Consider the following 11,879-nt stretch of genomic DNA (forward strand, 5'->3'; position numbering starts at 1 on the left):
CTTCAGGGCCCACCTGGATCCCACAGACAGAGCTAGATTAAGTGCTGGACACCCTTGACTCCAGTCCCCTGTGCTTTGGTGCCCTCTGCTGGTCTGAAAACTCCGCTGTTGGGAATTGGTGTGTGCATGGGGGCAGGAAGGAGAATGAACCAGTGTCCATCTGCTTTTTGCAATAAAACTGCCCTATACCTAGGTCCATCCAAGCCTTGTTTTCTTACTTTGTATATAAAGGAACAGGAATGGCAGAGTTTCTGAGACTAAGCAAAACAAAACTTTTAAGGGAAGAATATGAAAAGTCAAAAAGAACTTGTGTTTACTGGCAGCCTGCTATAAGCAAGGGATTGCCATATATAGTTTCTCATTTAATCCAATTTAGGCTGGCAGGGCAGCGGTGTAAGCAAAAGAGCAGCAGACTATGAGGCAGAAGAGGAGTGGGGATCTGGAGTACAGAAAGGGTGGTTATTGCATGCAGGGGTGCAGACACACCTATTTTGATATACTAATAAATAGGTTCATTACTTTTTAGGAATATCTGTGTTCTAATATGATTTATGTTTGAAGTTTCCCATCGAAATGCCTGGAGGGTTCTCAACAAGGTCAGAGGAGCATTCTAACGGAAGAGGAATTCACATCCATTATTTGAGAGTCCACCATGGGGCAGGCACTTCATAGATGATATTTCGTTTAAGACAATAAGGAGGAATTTTCATTGCCATTGTGTAAAGTTCTGAGAAGCTGGATAACTTGCCCTCAATCACACAGCTGGTGCATGGCAAAGCTGAGCTCTCCTGCATGCCTCACCTCACTCACTTCTCGCACGTGGAACGCTTCTCCCTCAGTGGGTACAGGCACACCGGACCTCAGAATTCCTGGCCACGCTAGGGAGGGAGCAAATGCTGACCCATACTGTCGGTGTTTCTGAACCAGACAACACTCTCTCAGCTCCTAAGAGGCAGACTTCACTGCTGCCAGTCAAAGGGAAAGAGAAGAACACATCTTAGAAGGGGAAAAGCTTGATTCTGAAGACGAAATCAGATTGGCTTTCCCGGGGTGACTCGGTTGCTCTGAATCATCCAGTGAAAACAAGCACTTTGCCATCTGGTAATTACCTTGGGGCCGAGGTGTCAATCCCTTCTCCTTTATCCTGCCCTCCGTAGGAAAACTCTAGCCCCTGGGTGGTCCAGATGGTCAGAGGCCTTTGCACAATGAACAGAGGCCGCTGCTCCATATGTGACTTCTTTGCCACGGAAGTCATCCCATGAAAAACTACAAGCAGGAAGATTTCGCTTCTCGTAAATGCCTCGTTAGAGAGTCAGCAACTTCTGGGAAGGAACTATCTGTGCCCTGTCCCCCACCTCCATCTCCTTTCAATTAAGGAGCCCAGAGTTCTGTGCTTCCCACCACTGTATTCATGCCTGCATAGGAGGCTCACGGAACTATCACCCTCACCAGAAAAAAAGAGAGAATCTGTTAATAACAGGCTTTGTTCTGTCTCAGCGGTTTCTACCCTTCCTCCATTCCTTCTTGACCCCTGACAGTAGCTGTCCAGAGAAACACCCCCTTGTTGGATTTAATACAGCAACCCAGGGATCTCCAACTCACTCCCACACCAGAGAGTCCCCAACAGCCCTTGAGAGGGGTGAAATCCATTAGTAGAGGCCAGAATTCACCAGTAAGTAAGAGAGGGTTTGATTACCCTGATTTTCCAAATCCCATAGCAGCTGGTACTTGTTTGTTTGTTTGTTTGTTTTTCATTTTGGTTTTTTGTCTGTTTGTTTGTTTTTGAGACGGAGTCTCACTCTGTCACCCAGACTGGAGTGCAGTGGCACAATCTCGGCTCACTGCAACCTCCGCCTCCCAGGTTCCAGCAATTCTTCCACCTCAGCCCCCCGAGTAGCTGGGGTTACAGGCACAAGCCACCACGTCCAGCTAATATTTTGTATTTTAGTAGAGACAGGATTTCACCATGTTGGCCAGGCTGGTCTCAAACTACTGAGCTCAGGCGATCTGCCCGCATTGACCTCCCAAAGTGCTGAAATTACAGGCATGAGCCACTGTGCCCAGCCAGCAGCTGGTACTTCTAACATGCTCCTGGAAGTCCTAGACAGCCTCCTGCTGATTGCTTTGTCCCAAACTTCTTTCTACTCACATCAAAAATTGAGAGACAACATAATACAGTGAAAGGTAGAACAGAGTAATATTTAAGGGCCTCAGTTAGACAGGGGTTCATACTCTACTATCTATGACTTGGGATAGTCACCTAACCTTTCTGAACTTGTTTCTACTCTATGTAAAAAAATAAATAAATAAAAGTAACTATGTAAAAGATTTTATTGTGATTATTTACCTATTGATGTATTTTCATGGCAAATAATAAGTATTTAATAAACTTTTGGCTAGTACATTAATACTGATATTGATATTAACACTGATTTTGTTGTTGATATACAGATGTTAATATTACAAGGTCAAAACAGTAGTCATATATGCCTCAGAGCCCAAAATATACAGTTGATCATCCATAGTAGAGACTTGAAACTTGCCCAGTATTGACATGTGCAGTCAGATGACTCTTTGTTGTATGGGGTTGTCCTGAGTATTACAGGATACTTGGCAGCATCCCTAGTCTCTACCCACTAGATACCCAAAAGTACCTTCCCTCCAATTGCAACAACCAAAAATGTCTCTTGACATTGCCAAATATCTCCTGGAGGGGGGGCAAATTGCTCATCATTGAGGATCCCTGCTCTACCATATCCTATGCCAGTCACTCAACTTCTTAACTTTAACTTTCTTTAGTGGCAAAGCAAAAAAAAAAAAAATCTATCAGTCAAATGACTACTAAGTGACAGATAATTTTAATGTTAACTCATTTCATTCCCCACGATACTGTGTGCTATGCCCACTTATAGAGGAAGAAAATGAGAAATCCAAGCCCACCTAATTGCAGAGGTGACTAGCAGTGAGTGAAGGCCAGGGAGTGCGACACCACCTAAGAAAAGGGAGGACAGAGGCTGATTCACAGGTTAAAGAGAAGCCAGAACAAAAGTAAAGGCCAAGACTCACAGAAAACAAACAAGAGAGAATGACTGTGACGAAACTAAGAGATGAGACCAAAGGGTCTAGGCCTAACCGTAGTGCTTTAATGCAGGGTAAGGGGTCTGCAGGCTCTGACCAGAAGCCAAGCCAGAGAAGCAAGTGACCAGCCCTGAGGTTTTGAGGGGTTGTTTAAACCTGCAACTGCAGAGTCGCATCTTCACCCCCACAAAACGGATCTTTCTGGGTCAATAAAGATGTGCATGGTCAGCTGGAGAAAAAAAAAACAAAGTAGGAACTGAGCATAAATGTCAGATGAATGCTAGTGACTTTCCGAGAGGACTCTAGATCTAAGCCAGGTACCAATGGTTTGCCTGTTTGTATGGTATTTTCACCCTGAAATCTGTTCTGCTGGAATAAAGCAGGTTGTAAACACTAGCCTATTCACTAAGACTGTTGTTATTAGATGACTCACCAAGCAGGAAAGACAGGGAAGAGGAAATGATCAGTGTGACTGTCTGAGGAGGAAAGCCCTGCTCCCTGAGCTCAGGGGAGAACGGAGATGAAAGCAGGGATGCTTCATGCTGGTTGACTCACAGCTTCTTGAGTGCTCAGCCGAGCCAACTGTGTGACTGTTTGGGAATCGGGGCTCAGATGGAATAGTTCTGAGGCCTAGGTCTGCAGTCGACTAGCTGGCAACCCTGGGTGGATCATTTTTCTCCTCTGAGCTGCAATTTATCTGTCGAAGCCAGGTAATAGCACCTGTCTTGAGTAGCTGGTTAAGTAGCTAAGGTGTTAAGGAGAGAGTTGTGTGGAAAGCTACTTTGGTTGAAGAAAAGAGTCTTGGGGGACTTCCTCTATCATTAAAACAATAAGACTGGGGCTCATGGGCCCGGCATCCAGAGTCCCAACTATGAAAGAACCAACTGGTCAACTACTCCATCTGATGAGAACCCACATACACAAATTCTTTTATTGTCTTCTGGTTCTGAGAAAGTCCCTCTATCCCATTGGTTTCTTGGAAATTCATAGTTCCAGAACAGTTGCTTAAGTACAATTCCACATTAAAGGAAGAAATAAATCGTAATTATAACTCAACACTCACTCCTTTCATGCCTTGAGAATCACACTGCTGTCCAGTTCTAGTCTCCCCACCCTGATCCCCACCCCTGGCCAAAGACATAGACATAGCAGGGGCTTCCACCAGCCTTACCAATATGTACTTTTAGGGACAGAGGAGAAAAACCAGTCTTCCCCTGGCTCCAGGAAATAGATCCAAATACATTTTCAAACATGGTGTATAGAAAAATATGGTGTATTTGGTTACGCACGTCCCCCTTCCATCTCTGAATCCAGCAGTAGCCACAGGGGACATTTTATCCATATGTTTCTCATTCATTCAAATGTAACTCACTAAAGCACTGCTAAGAAGTACAAGGCCAAGACGAGTTTGCGTGCTATATCATTTATTAATTTTGCTTTTACCCCAGAAGCAGTAAATCATATTTTCCTGAGAGCAAGCGATGTCAACCCTCAAAATATTTACACTTGAGCCAAGCACAGAACTTCCACACTGTACCATGGTTGACTCTTGCAGAAACACACACCCCAGCTGTGGGAGGGCAGGATTCTCTACTGAATAGCTTGAAATAAGCATATCCAAAAATTATGGTGGAATTTTACAGTTAAAAAAAGTATATTTCCGTAAAACATACAAAGTACAGAACATAAAATGTGACAATATCTTTTTGATTGTTAGAAATATACAGAAGATGCCATGATTCTCAAGTAGGTGGAGGAAATACATCAGAGTTGTTATGGAGTGTAAAGTGTTCATGTTGATCAAAAGAGGAGTTGAAATTTGAAAAAACCTGCTATAAGAGAGAAATATTACCTCTGTCTTGCTTTAGAAATTTTGAAAACATTTGATATTGATTTGTTTGTTTTCTGTTTCTTATTTTCATAGTTAAATCTGTTTGAATTAAAAGTGGAAAAATACTGACCCAAAAGTTTACCATTTTTAGCTAGTCAGTTTGAATGTCTTCCTATTTCTGCATTTGCCATTTTTTAATAGTCTGATATCAGATTGACTTTTAATCTGTGCTTAAGTATCAGTTTTCTGTCTCTTCCTTAAAATTGAATGTCTTTGTTGGTAAAAGAAAAAGAACATGAGCTTTGGAGCTAAGGAGAAGGATTCAAATCCAGCTCAACCACTCCCTAGCTTAGATAAGTTGTTCCATCTTTTGAAACCTCAGCTGCTCTATTTGTCTAGTCCTTATCACCCTCTATCTTGCTTCTAGTGCTAGAAATTCTGTCCATTTCTTATTACCCCTAACCATAAAGCTTCCCAATAAAAGAAGTAGATTAACATGAAAATAGGTCAGAACGAAGGTTTGAGGGAAGGGCAATGAGCACAGACCTAATAGATCCAGGACATAAAAGCCAAATGTCCCCAGTTTTACATGGTCTCTCCCAGAGTTGATGCCTCTTAGGTTGTCCCTGCAGTGGCTTATTAAATAAGAGGAAACCAGGAAGCAAAAAACAAACAAACAAACAAAAAAATCCTATCTTGGAGTAGTAGACAAAATAATCACACACACATACAAATATACGCAGATGTCCACGTTGTAATCCCCAGATGCTGTAAATATGCTACTTTACATGGCAAAAGGAATTTGCAGCTGTGATTGAGAATCTTACATAAAGTGATTATCCTGGATTATCCACCTGGGCCCAATGTAAACAGAAGGGCCCTTATAAGTAAATGAGGGAGGAAGGGGAGTGAGAGATTTGAAGGTATACTATTGCTGGCTTTGAGGACGGAGAAACGGTCACCACCCAAGGAATGCAAGTGACCTTAAGAAGTTGAAAAAAGCAAGAAAGTGGATTCTGCCTTAGAACCTCTAGACAGAGCACAGCCCTTCCAACACCCCGACTTTAGCTCCATGAGACTCATTTTGGACTTCTGACCTCAAAAGCTGTAAAAGAACTGTTGTTGTAAGTCACTAAGTTTGTATTAATAGTAATGTGTTACAGCACCGATGGGATACTAATGCAGTTGGTACTGAAAGCTGCATGCTGGGTGGTCAAGCTACTTGGATATGCATTCACCAACAGTGTAGGGGTATCAGAGGGAGCAGAGAAGCCTAAAGAGTCTGTCTCCCATGAGAAAAGCCTTCGAAGTAGGACCTGACAAGCTTTTCCCAATCTGGGTTCCTCTCTGTGTTAGTTATCTATCGCTGCATATCAATTTACCCCCAAAACATAGCAGCTTAAACCAATACACATTCATCATCACGCATTGTCTGTGGGCCAGGAATCTCATCTGCTTCAGGGCCTCTCACGAACTGCAGTGAAAGTGTCCACTGGGCAGAGTCATCTGAAGATTCAACTGGGAAGCATCTACTTTCAAACTTATTCAGTGATTATTGGCAGGATTCAGTTCCTCCTGGGCTGTTGAATTGGCTGCCTCAGTTTTCAGCTGACTGTTGGCCAGAGGCCACTCCTAGCTTTTTGTCACTTGGGCCTCTGCAATATCATAGCCTCCTTTATCAAAGCAAGCAAGAGTAAGCAAGAGTGAGAATTTGCCAGCAAAACACAAGTCACTGTCTTTTTTAACCTAATCACAGAAGTAACACCCAAGACCTTTACTGTATTCTGTTCAGTAGAAGTAAATCACTGGTGCCACCAACAATCAATGGGAGGGGATCACAGAAGGGCACAAATACCCAAAGATAAGCATCACTGGGACCATCATGAAGCCTGCCTACCGCACTTTGGTTCTGGCAAAGCAAGCCTGACTACACTGCCCAGTTCCCCTTTGGCGGCCATTTGACCGACTTCTAACCAATATAACATGAACAGATTAATGTACAACATTTCCAGAGTCCTTTTGTCCCCTGCCACTAGCAGGATGCAGACAGGCATGATGACCTTGGAAGCCATGTGTTGAAAATGGCTGAGTTTTCTTTTTTTAAAATAAATATTTTTTAAAAAAAGAAAAGAAAATGGCTGAGCCAGGAGATGGAAGGAGCTTGAGAGGCTGAATCAGCAATTGAACCAGGGGTGATAGGAGGGCAGGAGACAGGGGAAGAGAGGGCATTCCCTGATCAGAAATATCATTTTGGACCTCAAATCAGGAGAAAAAAGAAAAAACACTTTCTATTGTGTCTGAGCCATACAAATTTGAGGTGGTTGCTTCTAGTTCAATGTTACCTAATATATGGCTCCAGAAGGCTATGAAGCAGAAAGGGCCGTAAGGGATGAAGGAGCTGCATTATGCAGAATTGCAGAGAGTCAGCATGATCCACATGGTCAAGGGCTGTGCTGCAGGCAGTGAACTTCTCCCAAGGATACATATGCAGAATCTACACATAGCCTTTATCCAAATATTTAGAATAAAATATATCCAACAAAACTACATAAAATGGTTATCGTGAACGTATTTCTTATGGAAAATTATGATGGGCAGAGTTTGTCATCCCACATAGAAAGAATTCCATCCAATATGTAGAAATTGTACACAGAATACATGTACAATACCTACAACATAGAGGTAAATTCTATTCAATATACAACAGAACAAAGTAACACCCAGTGCAGAGAAAAGCAAGATATTGAAGACAAAGGAAGAGAAAATAAAATCCAGGAAGTCAGAGAAATTATGGAAAAGGTTTCAGATTGTTACCAGCCATAAAAGTGGGGTTTGAATCAATTTCAACTAAATCTCCAAGGGACAACATAGTCCTAAACCGCATCTGCGCTTGATGTGACAGAGCTCCAACAGAGGAAAGAGGAACAAGGACAAGGGCTCAGGTTAATTCTAGGAACATGTGCATATACAGCCATCTGTGCTTAAGAAATGAGAAATATGGTAATAAGACTTGGCCCAGATTGACCCAGGGTGATGACTTCTTAAGTGTCCCTCCTGAAAAGTTCAGTGAATGAGCTTAGAATTAATAATCACAGAGTAAAGAGAGAACCTCAGTGGACAGGGTTCACTCCAGGAAAAGTCCCTCAAGAATATATCAGCTCCTGACTGATTGACTCTGGTCCATCAATAGCTTTATTCATCTTAGCAACAATTTTGAACGCATAAAACTTGACCATGTCATTTATCATCTTATAATCTCTGGCAAATACAAATGTTCATATCATACTTCAATCCTCTGTTTCACCTGAATTGTCACCTCATAACTTCTGGCTGATCCTCAAATTGAAACAGACCATGAAAAGAAAGACATCTGACACCCCAGCAACCATCAGATCCAACCAACAGATTGTTTGAAGGCAACTTCAAAAGATGAGTGTCAGATATTTTTCAACAAGCCGTGCTGACATGGCCATTGTGTAGGGTCTGAAGGGAAAGCCTTGGAAGGGGATTAATCATGGAAGGGTTCATTGTTCAACCAAATATATTAATTTTATCAGTCATCAAACTTTTGTTAATCATGCCCATGATAGGAGGGAGCTAATGAAAGGCAGGAAGCGTTGCTTATTTGAGTGAAAAATAACTCAGTCGAAGCAGATTTCATCTACTGACTTCAGAAAGGCTGGATCCCAAAGACTTCACAAGGAACCACATGCTGGTTTTGGTGTGTATGCTGTCTAGTCCTTCTGTGTATCCTCTATTTTACCCAGAGACTAGAGATTAGACAGATAGGTAGGTAGATGATAGATAGATAGACAGACAGACAGACAGACAGGTAATAAACCTGGGTGAGGAGCCTTCATCCTGTTAACACCTTAACTTCTCTTAAACAGAGAGTTTTATTACAATATATTTAGCTAAAATCATTACATTTAAAACCACTCTCACGCCAGCATCACCCAGTTTACTAATATGCCCTGCACTTCTTCAACTACCCCCTTCCTTACTAACTTTTCCTGCTTTTTTTAGCTGTGGGCAAAACATAGTCTTCTCTGCTATCAACCTTCTTCACCCTTTCTCCACTACACCTGCAATCCATAAAAACGCAATTGAAAATGGATAAGGCATTCCATTTGTCTTCAGACATTGTCTGATATCATCTTGATATGTCATCACAGCTGTTTCAGTTTGCAACTTACATCCTTCCTCTTTTCCTTTGTCTTAATGTCAGATTTCTGTTTTATTCACTTCATAGTACAAATGTCCTTTGTCTTAAGATGCCTCAAATCCATTTGGAAGAGACAATTGAACAATTGATTAAGTTTCTTCAAAAGATGGTCCTTGGAGAATGTTCTTTAGCCATCGCAATTTTTTTTTGGTGTGTTTCTTCAGTTTGGTCTTACAAGTTTTAGGTGTCTGTTTTCTCTCTTCCTGTATCTCATATATCTCCTTAAAGAGCATGAATACTAAAGACCAGACCACTGTTTCATGCCCCTGACCCTGGTCACAAGGCTTTTTTCCATTCCAAGGGCCTTAACTTAGTAACAATTACATCCAGCATTCATGGGGCATTTAATGTGTAAAAGATTTGGGGCTTAGCATTTTTACACAAGTTACCCCATCTAATCCTCATCAGGACCCTTTAAAGGAAGTACTATTGTTATTATCACCCAACATTAAAGATAAGGAAACTGAGGCAAGAGAGGCTGAGTAAATTTTTGAAGGTCTTAAAGCGGGTCAGTGATGAAGCCAGGATCTAAAGCCTGCTAACTCAGCCCCAGGACCCTTGCTCTTAGCTGCCACACCACGTGGCCTTAAAAGAGGAGGAGTCAAAATGAGCCATCCCAGAATGTTCTCCCCTTCCCAGACTAGCTTCTCCCATCACTGACTCTTTCCATGAGTGGAAAATGTTACATTTCACATACCCAGTGACCTTGTACTTTCTCCTCCACCCGTCACCCCATCGAAACTAGTGATCCTGATATGTGGGCTTTGTTCATTTGCCCTAGAACTTTTTTTATGGTCCACTAGGTTTTTGTTTTGTTGAAATATTCTATCACTGGTTACTTAAAAATATATCACATAGGAAAGCTAAGCATGGACATTCTATAATTATTCTATATTATTCTAAGAAGTTTGAAAACTTCAACTGCGATATCCAGCTGGACAATAATAGTCTCTCCCTCCTTCCCTCACATCCTACCCACTTGAGGACATTGTGTTTTCAGTGAAAGGTCATCGCTAGGCCTGCTGTAGTGAACACTCAAGGATGCCTGAGAGGACAATGAAAGAAAGAAATAAAAAGACTTTTAGTTATATAACTATGATGTAGCAACAAATTATGAACCAGACCATTAGGTCCACATGACATGGGTTACCCTGTCCCCAGTCTTCTCCCCATCTTTAAAGGACAGAGGCACTAAGTGCCTGAGATCCTGTGATGTGGCTGATCTCTCACTCTGCTGAGGAACTAAGGTGGTCTCTAGAAGCCACATCCTCTTACACCATCACATGTCCTGGATCTCAGTCGGCATCATTTGGACCGCTGGTATGCTGTCTGGAATACAATGAAGTAAAAGGACTCCGGTCATTGTGTTTGTCAATCTAAACTCAGACCAGTCGTTACAATGCACCCAGCTCTGATGCATAAACACCCACACTTTTGTCAATATGATTCAGACTTACATACACATATATAGCCTTTTGTTTTTGTTTTCTCTCTAATTAAAATAGAATCACACTAAATAATAATTATTGTTTTGTGAATATGATGTTAGGGCTGGCTTAAAAGTAATTATACTAAATTTCTCATCCTTTGTTGGACTTTCATCTCATATTAGAACAGAGATTACAAACTGGCTCACTCAGTCCTCCAGCCCCTGTGTAGGATACCTTCCCATACACCAGGCTAGAAAGCTGAAAACTACATTTTCCAAACTCCCTTGCAATTAGGGCTTTCCACTGGCCCAGCTTCTCTCAAGCAAACATACCCCTGCAAGACCTGAAAGGCAGAAAAGGCCATTACGAAGCAGAGCCCCACAGCTCCTCTTACTCTGTAGTAGACACATTTAGTTTTCCTATAGCCAATTTCTCAGGGATCCTGATGTCCACTGCCCAGCTATGTAGTAGCAAATGCAATAGAGAGGTCTATTTGTATCCTGCATACCTTCAAAACTTCTTTACTGAGTTATCACTCTCCATCACAAAGTTTTGCATCAATTTTCTTGATCTGGTCAGTTGTGTCTAACTTGACCTTTTTGAAGCTAAGTGCATTCTGGGGCCTATAGGCCCTGGAGTGTTCCTTTGCTAGGATTTCATCTCAGAAGCCATCACCTCTCCAAGAAGCAGGGCACAGAGATGAGTTGAATGCCAATGAGAAAAAACTAAATTTTTTTTATTAATCTCAAGGTCACTTTAGAGTTGATTCTGTTGAAGTTCAGATTTGCAAAAGAAACAAACTGCATAGTGGTCACTTAGACATCATTCATTTTTCACTCATTCAAAAATATTTAACGGGTGACTATATTAGGTGCAAGGGAGGCAATCCCTGCTCCCCAGGAGCTCACAGTTTAGTGAGAGAGACTTACAAGACAACAGGAAATGCCGAGTGGGAGGAGCAGAGTGCAATGAGGGGGCACCCAGCCTAGTGTTGGGGGCTCAGAACAAGTTTTCCCTGAGGAAAGGACATCCAAACTGACACTGAAGGCTACATAGTGGTAGCTGCAAAAAGTGAAGGAGGGCTAGAAAAATAGTTCTAGGTGGCCGGGTGTGGTGGCTCAAACCTGTAATCCCAGCACTTTGGGAGGCTGAGGTGGGCGGATCATCTGAGGTCAGGAGTTCAAGACCAGCCTGGCCAATGTGGCGAAACCTTGTCTCTACTAAAAATACAAAAATTAGCCATGCATGGTGGCGGGAACCTGTAATCCCAGCTACTTGGGAGGCTGAGGCAGGAGAATCGCTTGAACACAGGAGG

The 11,879-nt window shown here is 42.2% G+C and overlaps 1 annotated feature.

Moving 5' to 3' along the window:
• Positions 1-50: a silencer, noted in NCBI's record as "silent region_19485". NCBI's record gives its function as "represses an Ori minimal core promoter by ATAC-STARR-seq in GM12878 lymphoblastoid cells {active_cell/tissue: GM12878}" and the evidence as "EXISTENCE:reporter gene assay evidence [ECO:0000049][PMID:35858748]".

Source organism: Homo sapiens, chromosome 8 (genome assembly GCF_000001405.40).
Source record: "Homo sapiens chromosome 8, GRCh38.p14 Primary Assembly".
NCBI lineage: Eukaryota > Metazoa > Chordata > Mammalia > Primates > Hominidae > Homo > Homo sapiens.